Genomic DNA, 27169 nt, shown 5'->3' on the forward strand with positions numbered 1-27169 from the left:
ATCCAAGAGGATATATATATACACAAGGGGATATATAGACACAAGAGGATATATATATAGACACAAGAGGATATATATATATATCTAGATATATATATATATATATCTAGAGGATATATATATATATCTAGATATATATATATATCTCCAAGAGGATATATATATATACACAAGAGGATATATATATATACACACAAGAGGATATATATATGTACACACAAGAGGATATATATATATATATATCCAAGAGGATATATATATATATATCCAAGGGGATATATATATATATATATCCAAGGGGATATATATATATATATATCCAAGGGGATATATATATATATCTCCAAGGGGATATATATATATATATCTCCAAGGGGATATATATATATATCTCCAAGGGGATATATATATATATATATCTCCAAGAGGGGATATATATATATATATATATATATATCTCCAAGAGGGGATACATATATATATATATATATATATATATATATCCAAGAGGGGATATATATATATATACACACACAAGAGGTGATATATATACATATATATATCTCCAAGAGGTGATTGATATATATATATATATATCTCCAAGAGGAGATGTATATATATATATATATATATATATCCAAGAGGAGATATATATATATATATATATATATCCAAGAGGAGATATATATATCTCCAAGAGGATATATATATATATATCTCTCTCTCCAAGAGGATATATATATATCTCTCTCCAAGAGGATATATATATATATATCTCTCTCTCTACAAGAGGAGATATATATATATATATATCTCCAAGAGGAGATATATATATATATATATCTCCAAGAGGGATATATATATATATATATATATATATATATATATATCTCCAAGAGGGATATATATATATATATATCTCCAAGAGGGATATATATATATATATCTCTCCAAGAGGGATATATATATATATATATCTCCAAGAGGGATATATATATATATATATCTCCAAGAGGGATATATATATATATATATATCTCCAAGAGGGATATATATATATATATATATATATATATATATATATCTCCAAGAGGGATATATATATATATATATATATCTCCAAGAGGGATATATATATATATATATATATATATATATATATATCTCCAAGAGGGATATATATATATATCTCCAAGAGGGATATATATATATATCTCCAAGAGGGATATATATATATATCTATCTCCAAGAGGGATACATATATATATATCTATCTCCAAGAGGGATATATATATATAATATATCTATCTCCAAGAGGAGATAGATATATATATATCTCTCCAAGAAGAGACAGATACATATATATCTCTCCAAGAGGAGACATATATATATCTCCAAGAGGATATATATATATATATATCTCCAAGAGGATATATATATATATATATCTCCAAGAGGATATATATATATATATATCTCTCCAAGAGGATATATATATATATATATATCTCTCCAAGAGGATATATATATATATATATATATATCTCCAAGAGGATATATATATATATATATATCTCCAAGAGGATATATATATATCTCTCCAAGAGGATATATATACATATATCTCTCTCCAAGAGGATATATATATCTCTCTCCACGAGGATATATATACATATATCTCTCTCCAAGAGGATATATATACATATATCTCTCTCCAAGAGGATATATATATATATATCTCCAAGAGGGATATATATATATATATCCAAGAGGATATATATACACATATATATATCCAAGAGGATATATATACACATATATATATCCAAGAGGATATATCTATATATATATATCCAAGAGGATATATCTATATATATATATATCCAAGAGGATATATCTATATATATATATATCCAAGAGGATATATCTATATATATATATATATCCAAGAGGATATATCTATATATATATATATATCCAAGAGGATATATCTATATATATATATATCCAAGAGGATATATCTATATATATATATATCCAAGAGGATATATATATATATATATATATCCAAGAGGATATATATATATATATATATCCAAGAGGATATATCTATATATATATATATATATATCCAAGAGGATATATCTATATATATATATATAGCCAAGAGGATATATCTATATATATATATATATCCAAGAGGATATATCTATATATATATATATATCCAAGAGGATATATCTATATATATATATATATCCAAGAGGATATATCTATATATATATATATATCCAAGAGGATATATCTATATATAGATATATCCAAGAGGATATATCTATATATAGATATATCCAAGAGGATATATCTATATATAGATATATCCAAGAGGATATATCTATATATAGATATATATAGATATATATCTCCTTCGTTACATATATATATCCATATCCAAGATATATATATTATATATATATCCATATCCAAGATATATATATTATATATATATCCATATCCAAGATATATATATTATATATATATCCATATCCAAGATATATATATATTATATATATAATGTATCTCCAAGAGTTTCGTGTGTGTGTGTGTGTGTGTGTGTGTGTTTGTGTATACCACAATTTTCACTGGTAACTTTTTATCATAACTCTTCCTTCTTTGGTTTCACTTCTCTTTGTACCTATCAATCTTAGCTAAATTTTCTTTTACAAGAAGGAAATAAATTAAAGGAAAAAGAAGAAACAAAGATGCAGTCGAAGTGTAAGGGAGATAAGCAAGGATGGGTGTAGTGAGGAAAGGCTTTGAAATTGTCCCAAACAGCAGATTTAATAACAAATACAGTCTCTAAAGAAAATGTTTATAATCAGTTTCTTCCTTAGAGACAAGTAACAAATAGAAAAAATACATGTAAGTGTTGGCCATTGAAGGAAAGAATGATTATAGAAGATATTTAGGGTTTACTTTTTTACTGCTTATATCATTTTCTGATCAAAATTTTATCTAATAACTTGATTTACTAATAACAATATGCACCACTTGCAATTCTGGGCTCTAGGGCCTCGGCATTAAGAAATTGGATAAGGTCTTTAATCCCTTGAATTTCATAAAAATGGGAAGGTGTGAGACCTTCAAAGTGGCACATCTTTAATTACTCACATACTTAAGTTGAGGTGTGGGCAGTTTCTCCGAGTCTGCACTAACTCCGAGTCTGAATGAACTTTAACTTCATTTAAAGAAAATCTCCATGCTTAGACAAAGAGGCTAGAAATGAATCATAGTGAGTGACATGCTCTGATTCTCATTCCTCGTCTCTATGATGTCAATGTTTCAAGGCAGTTTCCTGTGGTGCCAGAGCAATAGTAGCATTGTGCATTCTTCTCAGGTCATCACATGGAACGAGCAATAGAAATCCAATATTATTTTCTAAAGCACAGAAGAAATAAAATTATATTTCTTCTATGCAACATCATTTCCCCATAAATCTTTCTTAACAGATATTATTTATCTGAGTCAACACTTCCTTACAGTCTATCCACATCCTATTAGTCCTAGTTTAGAGTTGGCAAAACAAAAGATAGATTTTCATGTGGGAAGAACTGTTGAATGGCAAATGTAGCCAAGATGGCTTGTCATTTTGCCTTTTCGTGCCCAATATAGATCAACTGTGCCACTGATCAGCTAAAGCAAATCCTCCCATCCATAAAGAGTAGAAAGTGTTATACCACAGTAAAAGAGTCCTTTATGTTCATGCACTACTCAACAAGCATTCTTGCCGAGAGCCTAGTAGCTGCTGGGAGCTATGCCAAGCACTGAAGAAAAGCTATAAAAAAAATATAGACAATGTCCCTAATATCACGCATTGACCATTTGGTTGAAGGAGATACACAATAAACAAACAAACACACAAAGTAATTTCAGATTGTGAGGACTATGAAGAAAAAATTTTAAGAACAGAAAGTAGGCTGGGCATGGTGGTTCACGCCTGTAACCGCAGCACTTTGGGAGGCCGAGGCGGGCGGATCACGAGGTCAGGAAATCAAGACCATCCTGGCTAACACTGTGAAACCCCGTCTCTACTAAAAATACAAAAAATTAACCAGGCGTCGTAGCGGGCGCCTGTAGTCCCAGCTACTCGGGAGGCTGAGGCAGGAGAATCACTTGAACCCGGGAGGCAGAGCTTGCAGTGAGCCGAGATCGCACCACTGCACTCCAGCCTGGGCGACAGAGCGAGACTCCGTCTCAAAAAAAAACCAAAAACCAAGAACAGAAAGTAATCGGAAGAAAAAGGAAAAGCAGGTGGAGCTCTTAGAAAGTGTGGCCACACAAAGCATTCCTGGGGACATGCTATGGAGCTGAACACAAAAAGGTGAGAAGAATCCAGCCAACCCAAGAGTAAGGAATGGAACATTCCAGGACATGAGAACAGTATATGCAAAAGCCCTGAGAAGACGTGGCATGTCCAGTGTGGCTATATCCCAGTAAGAAAAGGAGTACAACACAACAGCGTTAGAGAAAATATGAACATGCAGGGCCTATGGGGAATTCAGATTTCAAGAGCAATGGAAAACCATTAATAGATTTAAAACAAGGGAAGCCCTGATAAAATGTCCTATTTTAAAATGCCTCTCCATCTGCTGCAGGGTGTAGAATGTAAGGGAACAGCCAAGAAAAAAATAATACCAGTAATGAGGCTATAACTGAGATCCAGATGAGAGAAAGGTTGAAAGTTGAAACTGGGGTGGCAGTAGTGGTAATGAAGAGAAATGAACTAGTTAGAGAGATATATTGGAAGTAGAAGCAACAGAGCATGGACATTTCTGGATTTAGGAAAGCATGATGAAATAGAAAAAGAAATTAAAAGTTATTATAAAATTTTAGGCTTGAGAAACTGAGTAGATTGTATGATCATTTACTGAGTTGAAAAAAAAAAAAAAAGGAATGAGTATCTGTCAGGAAAGTAATCAGAGTCCTGTTGGGAAGTGTCAATTTTTGGATGTCTAGTAGATACATAAATAGTGTCAGGCAGAAGTATATGTGAGTCTAGAGTTTAGGAGACAAATCCAGAGATATAAATTTGGGAGTCTTGGAAGTCACTTAGCGATAGATGATAATTAAAGGCATGGAACTAGATGAGGTCATCTAGGAAGGAAGGATGTATAGATTTGTGGTGGAAAAGGCAAGCTATCAGTTAACAAACTGAAAACTGTGGGAGGTTTGACAAGAAAGGTGAAGATATGAATTAATTGTTTCAAAGAGAGAAATCAAACTCATTAGGGAACTGTAGGTGATGGTTGAGTATCATTTGAAATGTATAGTCATTCTTTAATATGAAGCCAGTAAGTCAGGCTTTGTGATTTTCTTCAGTAAAGGTTGGCTGCTGCTGTACAGGAGCAGAAAAGATAGCTATTTTCACCAAAGATTGGGGTTCAGTCAGATAAGGACAATAAAGGGAAAATGAGGCAAAGGAGTTAGGGGTGACTGCAAGGGAAGGATTATAGGAAAAGACTGTGAAATCGATTTAGATGAGGAGAAAAGCAAAGAGAGGAAGTGAGAAGTTGATGGATAATGAAAAACAGCTGGGAGATTCAGTAAGCTCAAAAAGCTATTGCATAGAGAATCTTAGAATAAATAAGCTTCAGGTGAATGCTGTTGACCAGGAGTAGGATGTTTAAAATCAAGATTTCTGAGATGGTGCAGATACTAGTGATGATACAATTTAGGATATGACCATGGGAGAGAGTGGGTAGATGGAGACAAAATTTAGATCATGTCTTTTGATACTCAGCAATTTCTTGTGAGAGAATCAAACGAAACACACCACTGTGTAGTGGTAGAACAAATAATCTTTTTGGAAGTAGAAAACCATAGGTTATGTTATACTTCTGTCATTTACTGGTGGCATGCCTTGGAAAAGCCTTCAGTGTCTGTTTCATGATCTGAAAAAATGGTGCTAACAATAACTAAGTTAACATTCACAGGATTTTTGTCATTGTTAAATAGAGTGACATATATCAAACTCATTTTAAAGCAGAAAACCACTATAAAATGCAAGCCATAATCAGGATTATTTTATAGGTAAGAAACAAGGCTCAAGATAACTAAATGTTCAAGGTTAGATGATAAATGAAGGACCTAGAATTAAACCCCCATTATTTGATTCGTAGTCTACTGCTCTTTCCACCACACCATTTACAATTTTGTCAAACATAAAATCTACATCTCATTATTAAAAAGAAATAACTTCGCACATTTTGATCTTTGTGCAAATACATTTATTATAACAAGAAATGTGGTGGCACACTGAGTTATAAACTGATTTTTCATGAATTGTCACCCAAAAAGCAGAAATTCTTAATACCATACCATTACAACATATTACATTCATGCACCTCTTTTTTGGTCAATGATGAACTATATAGGACATAGGACAATGGTCTCATAAGATTATAATACTGTAGTTTTACTCTACCTTTTCTATGTTTAAATATACAAATACTTACCATTGTGTTGCAATTGCCTACAGTGCTCAGTAAAGTAACAAACTTCAGATTTGTAGCCTAGGAGCAATAGGCTACACTATATAGTCTAAGTGTGTAGTAGGATATACCATCTAAGTTTGTGTAAAATACATTCTACGTTACTCACAGGACAAAATCAACACATTTCTCAGAAAATATCCATGTCATTAAGCAGTGCATGTGTGTACTTCCTTGAGTCAAAGAATGAGACTCAGCACAACTCATTATTTTGAGTACTAATGCCCAGTGCAGATCCTGTTAAGACTGGTGTGATTGCAAGAACAATCCACATTATGAACACTGGAAGTTTTTATATTTGCATTACCCAGAGTGACATGCATATATAGCAACTAAACTTTGTCCAAAAATAAAATAAAATAAAATCTCTCCTGGCCCAGAGCATTGTGTTAGCCACAGAAGAAAATGGAAGGGTATTTAAATAGCTATTTAACTCACTCAGATAAATGAACTAATACAAGTAAAGTATAATACTTTGTGTGACTCATGAAAACAAATCAATGAGAATAATAAACTACATTTAGAACAAGGAAAAATATTGCATATTTATTACTCTTCTTTGATGTCTAGAATGAATAACGTAGTATGGGAATCTTCACTAAATTACAGTGTGAACACATCCAAGCTAAATTGTACACTATTGCTCACAAATTATACTTTGCTAATCAGGTAATGGTGCTGTGTCTTCTTACAAAGTAGGCACCAAAAAGTAGTCATCGCAGCATTTGAGACTGGGCATGGACTCCTAGAGTTCACTCGTTCTTTCCCAAAGTGCATTGTTGTGGCAACTACCCCTCACACACGTGTTATCAACCACCCACTAAAAAAGATGCCTGTCACTGGCCAACTAGTATAGACCCGACTTTAAGATATGGGGTGAGTGTCTGCAAGAATACTTACTACAGCCTGGCTCATTTTCTGTTTTATAAAATAAAACCACCTCTCATTTCTTGTTGACTTTCACTTTCTACCTTTTCTTCTTTATTTTTCCAAAGGGAGCCTGAGGCCAGATTTTTAAAAAGGTGTTTACTTCAGTAAACATGATTTGGCTTGTCACCTACACAATCTGTCACTAATTCTTCTTCCACAATCCCATTCACGTTCTCAGCAAATGCCTAAGCTGGGCTTCTAGATCAGTTCTGCTAGAATTTGTGTGTGTGTGTGCACGCGCGTGTGCATGTGTGCATGTCCACGTGTGTGTGCATGTCCACACATGTGTGCACTGGAGGAACAAGACTGAAACCCTGTACTTTCTGGTTTTGTACAAGACAATGCTTTTATTAATCACCTGTCTGTTCCCTAGTACCAATAACTCCTTAAAAATTGCTATCCTAGACCATCTTCCTGTTCATCGAGCCCTCAATCCCACCCATCTCTATTATCATCACATTTAATTAAATGCCTTTGCTCTTACTTCTACCAGAAGATGGTGATTGTAAGATATGAACTACCTTATCTTCCCTACTCCAAATATTCCAGAGTCTACTTTCCTCTGTTCCTTTGATTTTCTTCCTTCTTAATCTAAGACCTTCTTTCTTCCCCAAGACTCCATGCCTAGAATATAACCAAATGTTTTTCTACCTCTCCACATCTCCACTCCTCTTTGCCTGTCCAAGTCTCATTGAACAAAAAGACCCACCTCAAATCCCACCTCCTATAGGAAGCCTTCCCTTATGTTCCCAGAAGAAAAAGAGATATACCCCTCTTCCATATTCTTATCACAAGTTTTGTTTTTATTTTTATTTTGAGATAGGGCCTTTCTCTGTCACCCAGGCTGGAGTGTAGTGATGCCATTATAGCGCCCTATACCCTCAAATTCCTGGGCTCAAGCGATCCTCCTGCCTTGGCCTCCCAAGTAGCTAAAACTAGAGGTGTATACCACTACACCTGGTTATTTTTTTATTTTTTTATGGCAATGGGGTCTCACTGTGTTGCCCAGGCTGATCTAGAAATCCTGGCCTCAAGTGATCCTCCTGCTTCAGCTTCTGAAAGCACTGGGATTCCAGGCATAAGCCACCATGCTCAGCCCACAAATATTTTTCATACATGTGATTTGGCAGTTAACCTAATTCTGCCTTGTGACAATTGCATAATTATCTTGAATTGCTGTTTTATTTTCCTATTTTGTTATTTAACTTCGTGCATATTTCTGATATGCCTTCCCAACTAGATTTTAAGTGTTTTAAAGGAAGACATGATAACAAACATCTCTTTTCACAATTTATTAAATATGCATAGAATTATTCACTTGATTTGATATGTGGACGTTACTTTAGATGCAATGTCAAATAAAAACATAAATGGTTTTAAAAGAGTATCATGATGTTGATATAATTTTAGAGAGTAATTAAACAACTTACATACCCTGAAACCCACAATTCTGTCTCTAGATGTTTGCCCTAAGGAAATGCTTACATGTGTATACCAGGAGCATGACCAAGGAAACAATGCATTATTGCTTGTCACAATGAAAAACTGGAAACAATCTAAGGCAATAGTTCTCAATATGTAGGTTGCCCTCCAGGGGACATTTGGAAATGTCTGGACATATTTTCTGATAGTCATAATTGATGTTACTGGCATCCAGTGAGTAGAGGCCAGAGAGGGTACTAAATATCCTACAATGCACCGAACAATCCCCCAAAACAAACAATTATCTGGTTCAAAATGTGAATAGTGCTGAGGTTGAAGGACCCTGATCTAACTGTTCATCAGCAGATAAGCAACTGTATTATATTTATTCAAAGGAATAACGTTAAAGCAAATGAAACAATGTGTATCAAAATAGGTAGATCTTGAAATGCAATGTTGAGTGAAACTAGAATGTGGTGAAATAATATACACAAATGGTCTGAATGTTTGTATATTCCAGAAGCACTCAAAGCCATGTTATAAATAGAACATGAACTGGAAAGGTATGAATCAAATTCATGATTTGGGGCTGCTTCAGGAATGGGAGGGAGAAGAATGGACCTAGGGAGGATAACTTGAAATAGATTTCAACTTTATGATATTACTTCACATTTAAAAAATCAACCAATATTCTCTAGAGCCCACATAAATCTGTTCCATCTTGTGGTTAGCGTTAGCAAGATGTTGTTGCAAAAAGAAATGCAAATTAAACTGCTAAAAACTAATTATGAGTGTAAAATGCTCAAAAGAATGCCAAAGGTAGAAACTCATTTTATAAGGAGATGATGCCCCAAACATCTTCTTTATTCATCTACAACCCCTGTGAGTGGGACTATTTGAGGTCAGATGCCACAGCTGTATGGCTGTGACCACTGGTTCCTTTCCAGCTTCTCTCTCTCCTCACTCACATGTCTCATTCAAGGCCAACCTGACATCTACAGCCCAAGGCTGAGGGTTTTATGTAGATTTGTGGCTCTTCAGCCATGGATGAAACACTCCTTATCTACACACACACTCCATACTGGGCCAATCTATTGGAAAGGACTTTTGTCAAGACACTTTCTTCTTTGATCTGATCACTTCCATCACCACAGGCTGCAGTGTTCGCATTTGGCTGATACCCACATTGGTTCTTGCCCAGTCTTTTTTTTTTTTCCAGGAAAGATATCTTCCCCCACTACCTACTATGTGCAGACAGGAATTTAAGTGAAGATAGATTCCCCCAGAACAATTTATTCAAAGATTATTTTAGCAAATATTTTCTAGGTACTTGCTGTGCTCCTGGACATAAAATCTTGATGTCTGGGCCATCTGCTGCCCCACTGCTGTGGCAGCATCTCCTTCTAAGCTCGGTTTTCCCCTGATTCCCTATGCTGCTTTAGCTAATGAGTTTCTGCCTGACGCTACTTCCTCTCCTTCTCCACTGACTTCATAAGACCAAGATCATTACACTCATCCCAGCCCATTACACTCTCCATCATACTCTCCATCTAACAAATTGCAGCGCCCTCAAGTATTTTAAAGCATCAGAGCAAGTGAAGACTATACATGATAAATATTTATACATGATAAATAAAAATTTATCATGTACTCTAAATGATAATCTCAAATCAAAGAAATGGTTTGAGAAAAAAATATATATTCAGTATATTTTTGTTTTCTATAATACACACTATAGAAAGTAAAACCTGACAAAATGTTCTTGGCTGGCAGAAAACAGAATGAAAAGCACTGCAGGAGGTATGGATTTTGAAAGGTCAAGAAGTCTTACTCTCAGGACACCTGCTTTGCCATTTCACTTCCCTAAAGGAGCTCTGCCCATTTCTAGAGAGAGGCAACGTGCATTTACTTCTCAGGCAGATCTGCATTTTCGCCTCATAGATCTTACTGACCTATTTCTTATTTCCCCCACATAAACAATAAAAGTAATAAAAAGAGCCACATGTACATTTCACAGAGCAAATAAAAAACCAAGACATACTCATCAATTCAGTGTATCTAATTTTCACATTTTTCCTTTAGTTTCACATGAGTGAAATCTGAAAGGAAGAATACCCCATAATGTACCAACATTGCACGGTGAAGAAGTGATAGCAATATTAGAGAGCTGTCTAATGTCCAAAGCAAAACAAACCCAGCAAACCCAACCCAATCCCTCCTCTAAGAAACACTTACATTTACGCCATCTACTGAAAGTTCACCTGCCACTTGAAGTGCAAGACACTTTGAGTTTTCTAAATGTGCCTTCTTCTATTGACTTGATCAATTTAGCTTTTCACTCATGGTGTGTATGGTCTCTGATTTACCTTGAATTCACTGGAACCATTTGATGTTTTGGCCATTATTTTCCCATTAAAGTATATATGGTGTAAATGGATTTTCAGGTTCACTGAGAGTATAAAAAGCTTTCACTGCTTAATGAAAGTGTGTTCTATCATGTCTTATGGTTAGTGCCTACATAACCAGTTCTTGCACCAGGACAGGGTAAAATGGGAAAGACCAGCAACCCTCTGCTGGGGTGGGGTAAGAGGGGGGTGTGATCCAGCTGTTGACACTCAAAGATGGTGCAGTTTGTGCAAGGCGTGAGATCGAGCATAAGGTAAAAATAACAACTACGGGAGAGAGGCAAAGAATCCTACCAGTAAGGTACCCCAAAAGGTGGACACAGGATAAGAATTGCAAATCCATTAATAATATTCCAGAAAAGAAGGTAGAAAGTATAAAAATACTTGATTTCGTAAAAATGTTGATTCTCCCCAAATTAATTCAAAAATTCAGAGAAATTCCAATCAAGATCCTACGAGAATTTTTAAACTTGTAAATGTGACAAACTGTTTCTAACGTTTATCTGGAAGAAAAAGTGCTGAAGAATAGCCAACAAATTTTTATGAGAAAAAATTACAATGATGGTCTAGTGTTAGCAAATACTAAAATGTGACATAAAGCTACAGCAATCAAAACCTTCTGGATGCCAGAATATGCAAATTATATAAATAAATTAGAGTATAATTTAAAAACAGATCTATGTATTACTTACAAATGTAGTCTCTAGTAAAACTGGCTCTTAACAGAAAAAAATGTCTGTAACTCAGTCAATAATTTATACAATTTATTGTCCAAATCAGAACAGTTTGACAGTAAAAAGGAATACCAATAGGATGATAGAACAACAGCCAAATATTGAACTATCCTATGCAAATCTTGACATATGTCTACATAGTTACCTATAGGGCTGTTTCTGCATAATTTATAGCTCCTCATTTCACTCTCAGAGCCAGTTCGGGTACTAAATTCTAGTTGCCCAAGTTATAAGGCCTGGTCTCCAGGCAGGTGTTCAAGAGCCAAGCTCCAGGCTCTGAGAGAGGCTATGCCAAGAACAAGACAGGGCCCATATTCTCAGACATGATTGGAAGATAACATCTAGGTTACATCTACAGGAATTTGACAGCAATCAAGGCAGAGATTTAGTTTCAATGACTTGAAATACAAGAGACAGGAGCTTCAGGTTACCCTGATGTTGAGCACCAAAATGCTGATCAAGAGGGATAGCCTCAGGTTTGGAGTGAACAGAAGATGAGGACCAAGTGCGGTATTGTATGAAGGCCAGGAAACAGACAGGACCTAGCGGTGTTTTCACTTTACTTTTACCTACTTCACAAGTGTCATAAATTTTTAGGGAAATTCTTGAGACAAACTGACCATTATTTTTACCAACATAAAAAAGCAAACTACCATAAAATGATTCTCAGTAAGAAAGCTTCAACAGTTAAAATCAAAAAAAATATGTGAAAATGGTGCAGAGGGCTGCCAAGAACTCTGATAGAGTCCATACACATTTTACTATCACTGAAATTTACATAAAGTATTTATTGCTGGACACTTTACATGCACTATCTCATTTAACCACACCCACCACTCCAAGCTATTGTATTAGCTTCACCTAAGAGAAGCCGAGGCTTCCAGGAGACGTACCTCACATCCTGGCTAATTGGCAGAGTCAGAACTCAAGTCTTTTTGACTCTTAGCTTTTATGTCTTGTTGGTATCAGGATTAATTTGGGGGTAAATGAATAGAGATGCCTGGCAGCACAGGATAAGTCCAACAGATACTCTCAGGAAAAACAATTGCACAAAATCTAGTCAGTTATGTTTTAGTTTTGAAGAAAATAAATACTCATTAAATTATAATTATCTGGTTTACCCGATAACACCAAAATCACAATACCATTCTTAGAATAATCCTTGGCTCTTCTTTTGCTCACACACTCTACAATCAAATCCTGTCAGTCCAGTCCTCAAAATAGATTCAGCATCTCCAACGCTACCCTACTGCTCCACAAGCCCATCATCTCTGTCCTGACTCTTTCTAAATACAATGTCAAAATGGGTCTCTCTGTTCCAACCCTTGCTCACTGCAAGGGCTCAACCTGTCAGCCAGAAGGACTCCATTAAAAGTGACGTTGATCATGTCCATTAGATGCTCAAAGCCCTGCAGCAGCTCTCCACTTCACTCCAGGCAAAAGACAAGTCCTGGACATTGCCTACAGGCCTTTTGTGATCTGGCTTCCTGCTGACTTTCTTTTTCTTTCTTTCTTTCTTTTTTTTTTTTTTTTTTTTTTTTTTGAGACAGGGTCTCACTCTGTCACCCAGGCGGGAGTACGGTGGTACAATCATAGCTCACTGCAGCCTCAACCTCCTGGGCTCCAGCAACCCTCCCAATCTTGGCCTCCCAAAGCATTGGAATTACAGGCATGAGCCATGGCACCAGCCCTCTACTAACTTTCTAATGCACCTCCCCCACTTCCATGTGACTCACTTTGCTTCTTTGCTGTTCTTCAAATACAGTAAGCACATTATCACCTCAGGGTCTACATTTGCCATTCGCCTGCCTTGAATGGGAAATCTACTTGCTTACCTCACCACCAGATCCCTTACCCCTGATCTCATGGCCAGATCCCTTATTTATTTATCTCATGGACAGATTCCTTATCTCTTTATCTCATAGCTAAATTTCTTACCTCCTTACTTCATGGAGAGATCCCTTACCTCCTTACCTCATGACCAGATCCCTTACCTCCTTACCTCATTGCTAAATTTCTTACCTACTCACTCCATAGCTAAATTCCTTACTTACTCGCCTCTAGCTAAATCCTTTACCTCCTTCAGGTCCTCATCAAAATGTTGGTTTATTAGTGAGGTCACTAATAGATTAACTAACGATCCCCTCCTCCCACGTATCTTCTTCCCCTGCATAATATTCTCCAAGGCATTATCACCAGCCAACATGATATATATACAGTCATAATTCGTTATCTTTATCTCTTTATCCCACTTGAATGTGTTAGCTTGAACCATATGACACTGCCTTTTATGTAGGTAGAAAATGGTCAAATGTCTATAATTTCATTTTGTTTAACTTAGTAGTTGATATGGTTTGGCTGTGTCCCCAACCAAATCTCATCTTGAATTGTAATTCCGATGTGTCATGGGAGGAGGCTGGAAGGATGCAACTGAATTTTGGGGGCAGGTCTTTCCCATGCTATTCTCATGACAGTGAATAAGTCTCACAAGATCTGACAGTTTTAAAAAAACAGGGGTTTTCCTGCACAAGCTCTCTTGTCTTGTCTGCCACCATGTGAGACGTGTCTTTCACCTTCTGCCATGATTGTGAGGCTTTCCCAGCCACGTAGAACTGTAAGTCCAATAAATCTCTTACTTTTGTAAATTACCCAGTCTCAGGTATGTCTTTATCAGCAGTGTAAAAGTGGACTAATACAGTAACTTTATAATGATCTGTTTCATACACTGCTAAATTTCCTAATGCAGATAACACTGCCTTGCATATAACAGGTGTTCAATAAATAATTGTTTAAAAATGACTTGTTTGGCACAAGTTTTAAATAACTGAAACATGTAGAAGTAGGTAGATGTCTTGTCTAACTGATGGTAATTAATTTCCATCTCAGCCCAATTTAGTCCCCAATTATCACATCTTATATACCCAGTTAGGAAATTAGTTCAACCTGAACCACCCTTGTGGTTTCTTTGGAACTCAAAGCTAGCGGTATTCACCCCATTTGCCTCTGTCTCTTCAAAGACTTCAAAGCTCTGAGTTTTTCCTGTTGACAGTTTCAAAAAAAAAAGAAGTTATCTATTACTTTTTGTTCTTGGACCTCCCCTACATATTCCACACTTTGGAAGGGGAAACCTGGCATGGACGAGGGCATTCTGGGGTCCCTGGCAGGCTGTTCCCGGATCACACAGTCACGGCAACTCTTTACTGAGTTAGGAGTAGGAAAAAGGTAGAAAGGCCTATCGTCCTCCCTTTCTGCTCTCTTTGTTCAAGGCTTAGAGAGTCTTGATCCCCAATCTTAATATATACTAAATAACATTTTATTTCCACTTCATTATTTTCTTGCAGAAAGTTAACTGCTTTCTTACTATTCAACATGGCTTTTATTTTTAAATTTTAAGTATTTTAAAATTCCATGGAAGATTATGTATTTATAGCAGTAAATGCTCAATAATATTAATATCAGACCTGCTTTTCCCCCTTTTTGAATCTGGGTCCAAAATAATCAAATAGGCTTTACCCTATTTGTTCTGTCAAATGTATTTGTACTGGGTCTGAGACACCGTAACACAAAGAACATAATCATTACTGGAATGTAATGAGGAGAATGTGCATATCTTGGGAATTACCATATATGCATGTTCACTACCTCTTCCTCCCCACTCTTCCCACCAACTCAGACTCCAGATCCATATTCTTTTTTGGGACTCCAGAAATTCACCAGGGATATTCTTCCAAAGGTTTGTGATACCTCCTTTTCTCTTGCTGATATAATTGCCAAGCTGTGTGAGGTAAGGAGCTCTCTATCCTGCCAGTTCTCATTTACAGACAGAAAGCCATTACATCTTCATTTCAGCCACAGACCAAATGTTCAGTGTGTCTTATTAAAAAATATTAACTCAAAGTTGTTTTAGTACAGAGTTTTCTGCTTCAGTTACTGTCTTAGTCCATTTGTGCTGCTATAACAAAATGTGACACACTGGGTAATTTACAAAGAACAAAAATGTATTTTCTCACAATTCTGGAGACTGGGAAGTCCATGAAGAGGTCTGAGCATTGGTGTCTGGTGAGAGACCACTCCATTGATGAAATTTTTAATGGTAGCATCCTCACATGACAGAAGGCAGAAGTGTGAAAAGGGCCAAAGGCTGTGTGAAGCCTCTTCTTTAAAGGTCCTAAGCCCACGAACATGGGCTCCACCTTTATGGCTTAATCTCCTCATAAAGACTCCACATCTTAATACTATCACGCTGGTAAGTAAGTTTTAGCAGAGGAATGGGGAGAGGGGCATTCAGACCTACCAGTTACAGTCCTACCTTTCATGTCTACACCTTTCTTTGGACTGAGCCTTGGAAAGATACAAGGTGAAAAAAGAAAGAAAGAAAGAAAAGAAAGACAGGATAGGAAACATATCTACAGAGCCCTTTCTATGTCCCAGGTTCCTGTTCCATATATTGCCTTGTTTCCATCTCACGGTTTTGGGGAATCCATTAAATCTAGAGCAGGTGAGTAAGAAAATACTTGAAGTCAAGCAATTAGGTAATCTAAGACAGTGGCTGTGTGGGAAGTTACATGGAGATGGGCTCTGAACCATCATGGGGACTTGAGCACTCTACTCTCATTTATATTCCAGAAGAGTTGTGGACATTCCTGGCCAGATCTGTGTAACAGAAGCCAGGAAAAGCACACACTGAGGGCACCCCCGCTCTGGACTGTAATGAAGGCAAAAGCGTTAGGCTTGCCAAGAAACACTTCTACTTCCTTGTTCCCCATTTAAACTTGAAATGACTTCACTATCCTTCTTTCCCCCTTTGTAATTTAGGATATGTCCAAAATGAGCAGACAGTAAGAACAATAGCTCTAAATTATACCAACAGTTTAAATACCATTTTAACACTTAGTGCAATTTTAAATGTTGTGCATTCCTTCTACCTAGCATCTCAGTATTTTCCTTGTTCCTTTGACCTTAGTTTTGACTAGAAGCTCTTCTGTGAGGTTGCAAAAGAGTTCAACTTCTGGAGGTTACCAAGCCTCCCAGAACCATCTTTACACAAATGCAGGTATAGATCTGCTATCAGAAACAGATTCACTTTCTTTATGCCACATGATATTAATATCCTAATTCCAGAAATGCATCTAAAGTTCAAGGACATATTGTAGCATCTTGACTTTCTGGACCAAGAACTAATATATGATTCATACAAAAATAAGAATGCTATTAAAAACTGTCTACAGTCTACCAGTTAATATTCACTGCCAAATCATAAATTACATTTTTTTTAAACACTTGATTTCTTTTAAGGTTTACCATATTCCTGATACTGTCTGAAAACAGGGAATTAATCCTTCACATCTAGTGTGATATCTGACACCTACTATGTGTTATATAACAAATGTTATGTAAATAAATGCATCAGTAAATAAAACACCCAGAGAAATTGTTTTAAAGACAAAGAAAAGGAGATTAACTTTTTTTAGAGAAAATATTGAGGAGGAATGACCTAACACTTATATTCTAGATAAAATCGAATTTTAACTATCTTTTTACTGAAACCTAAACTTCCTGGATTTTCACGCTAAAAATATTAGATTCTTAAAATAGGAGTTCTTTTTCTTAAGCGATAATCACTTATCCTCAGATATACTATGCAAAACATGTCCATTTCATACCAAATAGCTACCCTTCTAGAGTATTTGGGAAACATTTTGATATAATGAATATGGCTCTTGTCAAACATGTTATTCTCTATCTAAATGCAAATTCATTTACAAATGACAAGCAATAAAGAAAATTAGAATCATTTTGCTTGAGTTTTGACACAGGAAGTCATCAAGGACAACTCAGGGACTTTCTCCTCTGGGGCTCCCAAGAACAAAAGCTAAACTGCAGCACTCTCTATGTATCTCGAGGGAGATTACCTGCCTCCAGACTGGTTTAAGTCAATGGATCCTGCTTTCATTTATAATTTTCAGAGGTATCCAGTAACTGATGCTTCTCCCCAGGGTTCCATCTTAAGCACCCCTTCCCTTCTCACCCTGCAGAATTTTCTTAAAAATTCTTAACACTCCGAAGTCTGTATCTACAACCTGGACCTTTATTCTGAGTCCTAGCATGTGTCAACTGCCTACAACACTTTCCCCAAGTGTCTTCTTTGTCATTTTCTTTACCTTTCCCAACCACTCCCTGCCTTCCCCAACAACTCCATCCACTCATCCACTCAATCCCTGCTCCAAAGCACCTCTCATTTTATTATTTTATTATATTTCCCATACTGGTTAATAATGCCACCATCCACACAGTCCCCAAAGAGAGTTTAAAAATCATTTTTAATTCCTCCCTCCATCATCTTCACTCTCTTTAGTCTAATCAGTCATCAAGCCCTGACCCTATATCTTCTAAATACTGCCTGTATTTGTTCATTCTTTTCACCCCTACCCTTGGTTGGAGTATGGCCATTACCATCCAATTCCCTGCTCATAGTTTCATCTGCTCTAATTTATCCTCAACATTACCTTCACAGTAACATTTCAAATATGTAAATATGATCGAGTGGCTGACTCCCTTGCTTAAAAGCATGTGATGAAGTTCAAATTTTTAAAAAATAATTTAAATGTTTAATGGGACACCATCACCTTTCAAGATAGAGCCTGGTACTTCTGCATGGTCTTCACAAGGCAGGTGGGGAATTTCAGAATCTGACTCTTCACTCACAATTTCCTGTATGTATCATAGACGACCCTCCCAGCCAGGAATGTTGACATGATCACAGAATACATAAATAAAAGGAGGTGATAGTTTTGCCATCCTCAGAAGTAATTAGATGACACCAGAAGTTGTATAATCAGAAAAACAGAATCGTACAGTGTTTAAAAGTGTAGACTCCTAATGTAGGCTGCTGGAGTTCAAACCCTGGCTCCTCTACTTGCCGGTTTTGAGCAAGTTATGAAGCTATGCAACCTTCATCAGTAAAATAGGAATAATAAAAATACCTATCTTATGGGGGTTTCCGGCAACTACATTAATTAAAATATACAAAGCAACATGAAATAATAAATGTTAATATTGTAATGCCCATAATACTTTAAGAGAGATATTAACCAATGGAGCATAGCCTGACAAGGTGACCAGAATATGAAGACAAACTGAGATTATGCCATGTGAAGAATAATTGTAGTTATATGCAACTTACAGTAAAGAAATGTTGGCCAGGCACGGTGGCTCACGCCTGTAATCCCAGCACTTTGGCAGGTCAAGGCAGGCAGATCACAAGGTCAGGAGTTCAAGACCAGCCTGGCCAACATTGTGAAATCCCATCTCTACTAAAAATACAAAAAATTAGCTGGGTGTGATGACGGGCGCCTGTAATCCAAGCTACTCAGAGGCTGAGGCAGGAGAATTCCTTGAACCTGGGAGGCAGAGGTTGCAGTGAGCTGAGATCACGCCACTGCACTCCAGCCCGGGTGACAGTGCAAGACTCCGTCTCAAAAACAAAAAAGTCAGAAATGTTGGCAAGACATTACATGGCAAGATGTACTAAAATATCTGGAAAGCAATCCAGAGTGTTGAACCAGGAACATTAGTGGAACTCTTGGGAAACAAATTCTAGCTCAAATTCTAGAAACACTTTTCATAAAAGAAATGTCTAACAATAAGAGGGTTTGTCATCAGAGAAAGTGGGTTCCCCTCCACTAAAGGTGTTTAACCAATAGCTGGATAACTCTTCATTTACAATATTTCAAAGAAATTGATCAAAAAAATGCAGGGGAGAAAAATGACTTCTAAGGGACTTAGGGGTCTCAGATGACAAAGGGCTTCATATGTCACCTAACAGTAAATAGGTGCTTATAGTAATTATTTTTAGTAAATTCCATAAAGTATAAATAGTCATGGCATGAGCTTAGGTTGATTTGTCATCTAGTTTCCCTTAATAACCCTGTTTACCCAGTGATGAGTAAAATACAGATCTAGGGATGTGTCACATCATCTGAAATTATTTCCCCAGCTCCATGATTCATCGTGGACAGCTCTAGACAAATGCTCTCAAGTGGTAGCTGTCCCTGGCTACTGCAGCTGCATTTCCTTTTGTTCCCATGGAATTTTTCTTGAAAAACACAATGACTATTTTTTTACCTCTACAATTTGCTTGCAGTGTTTCTTTTCATTCATTTAACGTGTTTTGAAAGCAATATGCCAAAGGGAATTTGAGAGGAGTTTTATTTTGACCCTATGTATCAGTTTCAAGAAGGTGAAAAAGTTCAGAAACAAAGAAATTGAGTCATCTTTTGACCTTGATACAACTGAAGCTTTAAGATAAATCCATTAAAAAGAGCTACTCAGTCGAATTCCTACTATGTACCAATAATAATTCTATTTTAAAAATAAAAAAACAGGCTAAGACGGGCTTAATAGCCAACTCAAAGCCACATGGTCAATAAGGAGGAAAGCTGAGAGTCAGTCATGTGAGTCTAATGTCAAATATATTATGCCTGATTTCTACCCTTTAAGACACACACACACACACACACACACACACACACACACACACACACACACCTGTTCCAGGCTCACTCCCTGCATCATACAGTAAAGCATGTCTCAAATCTTGAAGGTAGGAGAAGCCAGTGTACCATTCTCTATGGTCCTGAACCATCTTTCACCCTGAGGAACACACCAAGGCCAGTCTTTGAATTTGCATATAATATTTGATGTTACAGTTTGTACCTGCACGTTACTGTTTGGCCTGGATTTGTCCACTGGCTCAGGACTAGCCAGTTAGGCTCTCCCTCCCTGTAGCACCAACACCCTCCAACCCGACTCCTGGCACCTGGCCACTGGGCGTTTCCTTACCACCACCTGCACAAGAGCGATGTGATAATTTAGTCATTTAATCATCCATTTCAGCTGGAGTGTCAAGACATGTTATGCTGTGATTGGTTATGAATGGCACAGCATAAAGTTTTGCATAACTTGGAGTCCATACTGCAGCCTGACCTTTCAGAATATGGAAATTCCATGGCATGGAATACAAGAAAATGTGTGAAATGTGAGGGGAAAGGATGAAGAAAGCACCATCTCGTATTGATACTTAAGGGGCAAAAGGAATGTGCAGTGATGAATCCCACTGTACCAAGGACCAACTCCTCCCAGACCCAAGTCTGGATTTTTCACAGTGGGTTATTCTCCAGCTGCACAACATGGACCTTCTACTTGAGGAGGCCCCAGCCTCCCACCCAGCCTTCACACAAAATGCTCACATCAGTGAGTCCATTTGATGGCCTTTCCCAGAAATTCTTCCCACTGTTATTCATTTTCTTTGGCTTTCAATATCCACCTCTTCCAGAAGACCATCTCTAAAGTTTGTATTTATGATCCCCTCCTTGAAGTAAGGCACTGCAAAAATCTTTTTTGGGTTTACTTAGAGATGATGGGAAGCCATTGATGGATACACGTAAACTAGAAGAATTGTACTGGCATAGGTAAAAATCAACAAGAACAAGGGAGAACATGACTGTTTTTCTTTACAGGTTGTAAATTAGAATTTGAAAAAGTTCAAACGTCATAGTCAATATGTCCTTTAAGTTACATTTAATTTATAGATTCTTTCTCCATTTTATCTTTGCAATTTATTTCTCTAAGGCTCCACTTTGTAGTGTAGAGTTTCTCAGTATCAATTTTGCTGACCGATTCCCACAATATTTTATAACATGTTCCTCTGTCCTCTTTACTTTCTATAAATTGTTCATAGGATCTAAGGGATTGATTATATTCAGGTTCAGGTTTTTTGTAAGACTAAATCATAATTGATATTGTAGTTGTTCTCTTTTTGATAATAAAAATCATTCATGATCAAGGTCTCAGTACATTAACCCATTATGAGTTGCAAAATGATGATAGTTTAATTCTACTATACCATCCTCATTAACTAAGTTAAATACTTCTACAAAGAAAAACTTTAATTCACCTACTATTTGGTTTCCCAGTGCTTTAGTTAATAAAAGAAATATAGGATAAATGATGGATTCTTTTCCTATACTTACCAGGTTTCAATATAATAAGTTGATTCCCTAGCATCTTCTAATGGTGACCAATTAGTTGTTTTTTTTAAAAAAAAAAAAAAAAAAAGCACTATGAAATTATGGGTTAAACACATTTGCTGTATTTCTATTCATTTCAGCTGTTGTCCTGATTGATACTTAGATTGCCCTTTCTTTGTTCCATCTTCAAGTTGGTCCCTGAACTCCTTTGAAGCAATCCTGATAGTCTGATAGTCTTTGATAGATGCCCTGCTATCTAGTGTAATTCATCTTCCTTATTTCCTGTCCCACATCTGGAATCAGTCTTCTCCCTAAGGAATCTTTATTCCTTATAGGAACAATGCTGGCATTTTCTCCAACGATCTTAATCCATCCTGAATGTCTATTGCATTTCTGCACTTCACCCCAACACCATGCCTCCCAGTTGAGACTCAGGGATGCAAGGAGGGATTGAAAGTTCCTCATGAATATGATGACAGATAGGTTTAGGCTCAAAGATGGCTGAAGCCCAGGGATGTCCATGACATAAATGACTTGGTAGAAATAATAAAATAATGGTATTACAATTTCAAGTGGCTACTATGACACAGCCATATCAAAATACCCTGCTGTAAGGCAAGCCAACCAGTTAGGAGGCAATTTGATTATTTCAGGAAAAGCAGCATGATAGGTATTGGAGTCAAACTAACTTGGGTTTGAATCCCGTATCTACTACTTGAAAATTTGCATGACCTTGGGCAAATTACTTAACCTCCCTAAGCCTCAGCATCCTCATTCATAAAATAGGATAGTAATAACACATATCTGATAGGGTTATCAATGTAATACATGTAAAACATAAGACCTATTACATACCAAGTGCTCAATAAATAAAAATAGTGATTATTTTTGACATTTTATTATTGCTAAAATTTATATACTGACAGACAGCAGATTCTAAAACAGTGCAAAACAGTAGCCACTAGCCACAGGTGACTACTGAGCACTCCAAATGTGGTTGGTCTGCACTGCAAAGTGCTATAAGTATAAAATATGCACTGAATTTCAAAGCCTTTGTGAAAGTAATGTAAATTATACCATTAATTCTTTTTATTTTTATTACATGATGAAATTGTAATATTTTGGGCATATTAGGTTAAATAAAATATATTATTAGAATTAATTTTTCCTATTTCTTTTATTATTTTAATGTAATACTAGAAAATTTAAAATTATATATGTGACACATTCTACTTCTACTGGACAGTGCTTCTCTAGAGATATTAAGAAGATATTTTTGTTTTGTTTTGTTTACAGCAAAGGGGACCAAATGAATTAAGAATATATGACGGGCACGGTGGCTCACGCCTGTAATCCCAGCACTTTGGGAGGCTGAGGTGGGTGGATTACCTGAGGTCAGGGGTTTGAGACCAGCCTGGCCAACATGGTGAAACCCCGTCTCTACTAAAAATACAAAAATCAGCCAAGCGTGGTGGCACACGCCTGTAATCCCAGCTACTCGGGAGGCTGAGGCAGGAGAATTGCTTGAGCCAAGGAGACAGAGGTTGCAGTAAGCCAAGATTGTGCCACTGCACTCCAGCCTTGGAGCAAGACTCTGTCTAAAAATTTAAAAAATAATAATAATATATATATACACATATATATACATATATGTATATAGTAAGCAAAGGTTTGGTGACTGCTGGGATCTGGGATGAGGGGTGAGGAACAGGGGGGAGTGATGGACCACCTCTAGTTTTCTGGCCTAAATCATTTCTTTCATGGAGCCTATGCACCTGACACTTTCTAACATGAAACCGCTTTTTTTTTTCTTTTTTTATTATACTTTAAGTTTTAGGGTACATGTGCACATAGTGCAGGTTAGTTACATATGTATACATGTGCCATGCTGGTGCGCTGCACCCACTAACTCGTCATCTAGCATTAGGTATATCTCCCAGTGCTATCCCTCCCCCCTCCCCCCACCCCACCACAGTCCCCAGAGTGTGATATTCCCCTTCCTGTGTCCATGTGATCTCATTGTTCAATTCCCACCTATGAGTGAGAATATGCGGTGTTTGGTTTTTTGTTCTTGCGATAGTTTACTGAGAATGATGATTTCCAATTTCATCCATGTCCCTACAAAGGACGTGAACTCATCATTTTTTATGGCTGCATAGTATTCCATGGTGTATATGTGCCACATTTTCTTAATCCAGTCTATCATTGTTGGACATTTGGGTTGGTTCCAAGTCTTTGCTATTGTGAATAATGCCACAATAAACATACGTGTGCATGTGTCTTTATAGCAGCATGATTTATAGTCCTTTGGGTATATACCCAGTAATGGGATGGCTGGGTCAAATGGTATTTCTAGTTCTAGATCCCTGAGGAATCGCCACACTGACTTCCACAATGGTTGAACTAGTGTACAGTCCCACCAACAGTGTAAAAGTGTTCCTATTTTTCCACATCCTCTCCAGCACCTGTTGTTTCCAGACTTTTTAATGATTGCCATTCTAACTGGCGTGAGATGGTATCTCATTGTGGTTTTGATTTGCATTTCTCTGATGGCCAGTGATGATGAGCATTTTTTCATGTGTTTTTTGGCTGCATAAATGTCTTCTTTTGAGAAGTGTCTGTTCATGTCCTTTGCCCACTTTTTGATGGGGTTGTTTGTTTTTTTCTTGTAAATTTGTTTGAGTTCATTGTAGATTCTGGATATTAGCCCTTTGTCAGATGAGTAGGTTGCGAAAATTTTCTCCCATTTTGTAGTTTGCCTGTTCACTCTGATGGTAGTTTCTTTTGCTGTGCAGAAGCTCTTTAGTTTAATTAGATCCCATTTGTCAATTTTGGCTTTTGTTGCCATTGCTTTTGGTGTTTTAGACAGGAAGTCCTTGCCCATGCCTATGTCCTGAATGGTAATGCCTAGGTTTTCTTCTAGGGTTTTTATGGTTTTAGGTCTAACATTTAAGTCTTTAATCCATCTTGAATTGATTTTTGTATAAGGTGTAAGGAAGGGATCCAGTTTCAGTTTTCTACATATGGCTAGCCAGTTTTCCCAGCACCATTTATTAAATAGGGAATCCTTTCCCCATTGCTTGTTTTTCTCAGGTTTGTCAAAGATCAGATAGTTGTAGATATACGGCGTTATTTCTGAGGGCTCTGTTCTGTTCCACTGATCTATATCTCTGTTTTGGTACCAGTACCATGCTGTTTTGGTTACTGTAGCCTTGTGGTATAGTTTGAAGTCAGGTAGCATGATGCCTCCAGCTTTGTTCTTTTGGCTTAGGATTGACTTGGCAATGCGGGCTCTTTTTTGGTTCCATATGAACTTTAAAGTAGTTTTTTCCAATTCTGTGAAGAAAGTCATTGGTAGCTTGATGGGGATGGCATTGAATCTGTAAATTACCTTGGGCAGTATGGCCATTTTCACGATATTGATTCTTCCTACCCAGGAGCATGGAATGTTCTTCCATTTGTTTGTATCCTCTTTTATTTCCTTGAGCAGTGGTTTGTAGTTCTCCTTGAAGAGGTCCTTCACATCCCTTGTAAGGTGGATTCCTAGGTATTTTATTCTCTTTGAAGCAATTGTGAATGGGAGTTCACTCATGATTTGGCTCTCTGTTTGTCTGTTGTTGGTGTATAAGAACGCTTGTGATTTTTGTACATTGATTTTGTATCCTGAGACTTTGCTGAAGTTGCTTATCAGCTTAAGGAGATTTGGGGCTGAGACAATGGGGTTTTCTAGATATACAATCATGTCGTCTGCAAACAGGGATAATTTGACTTCCTCTTTTCCTAATTGAATACCCTTTATTTCCTTCTCCTGCCTAATTGCCCTGGCCAGAACTTCCAACACTATGTCGAATAGGAGTGGTGAGAGAGGGCATCCCTGTCTTGTGCCAGTTTTCAAAGGGAATGCTTCCAGTTTTTGTCCATTCAGTATGATATTGGCTGTGGGTTTGTCGTAGATAGCTCTTATTATTTTGAAATACGTCCCATCAATATCTAATTTATTGAGATTTTTTAGCATGAAGGGTTGTTGAATTTGAAACCGCTTTTAATGAATGCTTCTTAACAGACTGATGTCTATTTTCCCAAGAAAACAACTGTCTCTATTGGCTGCTATAGCCTATGGGCAAAGAGGCAGTTCTTCTGGGTCTTGACAGCAGATGTTGGACAAAATAACCAAATCTGTTCTTTTGGGAGAAATAATTTACATTTATTAGTACCTATCATGTTCCAGACATTTAATATGTCTTCTTGCATCATAGCAAAACAATTGTTGGAGGTAGCTATTACAACCTTCATTTTTACAGATAAGGACATTGAGATTCAGAGGTTAACTAGCTTACCCCGTGTCATATAGCAAAGAAGGATCAGAAGTGAGAGGTAAAAGCAAGTCCATCTGCCTTTTTGATCCATGCTTCCTCTTTGTAAACTGGGTTGTCTTTTAGGAGTATATGTGTCCCTAATTTAGAACTCAAGAATCTATATGCTACAAAATGTAGGAGATGCAAGCTCTTAAACTATTCTAAGTTATTTATGTTATTTATAGGGCTTCCTTGGCACCCAAGTCATCCTATTAAACATTTTCCAGGCAATTCTGAAAGCATAGATTTTTTTAAAGGAGTATCTAATTTAATACTTCTCAAGAGTCTTTCACCATAGAATCCAAGCAATTTGACCTGACCTGGTTTTTCTTTGACCTGTAGCCATCCAAAGAGAATCATTATTCCTGTTAACTGATTTTTTTAAATACATCTTTAAGTATAATCCTTCAATGAGTGAGAGTAGGATTTAGAATTTCAAATACATTTTCCTTTATCTGCTTAGTGTCTTTTGCATTGTAAAAGTCTTTTGTTGTTGGATCCATTTGCTTCTAAGTGGCCTTTTACCTGAAGCCTTAAAAAAAAAAAAAAAAAAAAAACTATCCAAGAAAACCAAAAAGTATCCACTCTTAATGTTGGCATCTGGCCCAGAATATCTCTGACAAATGCTAATATTCAATGATTTCTCTGAATTATGTCTCAAATCCCTTCAGTCAGGCTAATGCTCTTAATTTAGCATGTTAGGAATCAGGCAGAAATATGGCCAAAAGCCTTAAATGAAAAAGA

General features: G+C 36.6%; 1 protein-coding gene and 1 long non-coding RNA gene across 6 annotated transcripts in view; one reads left to right on the forward strand and one right to left on the reverse strand.

The window, feature by feature from the left end:
* Positions 1 to 27169, reverse strand: part of KCNMB2-AS1 (KCNMB2 antisense RNA 1) — a 334939-nt gene that overhangs the window by 232448 nt on the left and 75322 nt on the right. The gene's annotated exons all lie outside the window — the stretch shown is intronic.
* The window catches only part of KCNMB2 (potassium calcium-activated channel subfamily M regulatory beta subunit 2), a 307994-nt gene that overhangs the window by 221479 nt on the left and 59346 nt on the right, over positions 1 to 27169 (forward strand). The gene's annotated exons all lie outside the window — the stretch shown is intronic.

This window comes from Homo sapiens, chromosome 3 (assembly GCF_000001405.40).
Source record: "Homo sapiens chromosome 3, GRCh38.p14 Primary Assembly".
In the NCBI taxonomy this organism is placed as follows: domain Eukaryota; kingdom Metazoa; phylum Chordata; class Mammalia; order Primates; family Hominidae; genus Homo; species Homo sapiens.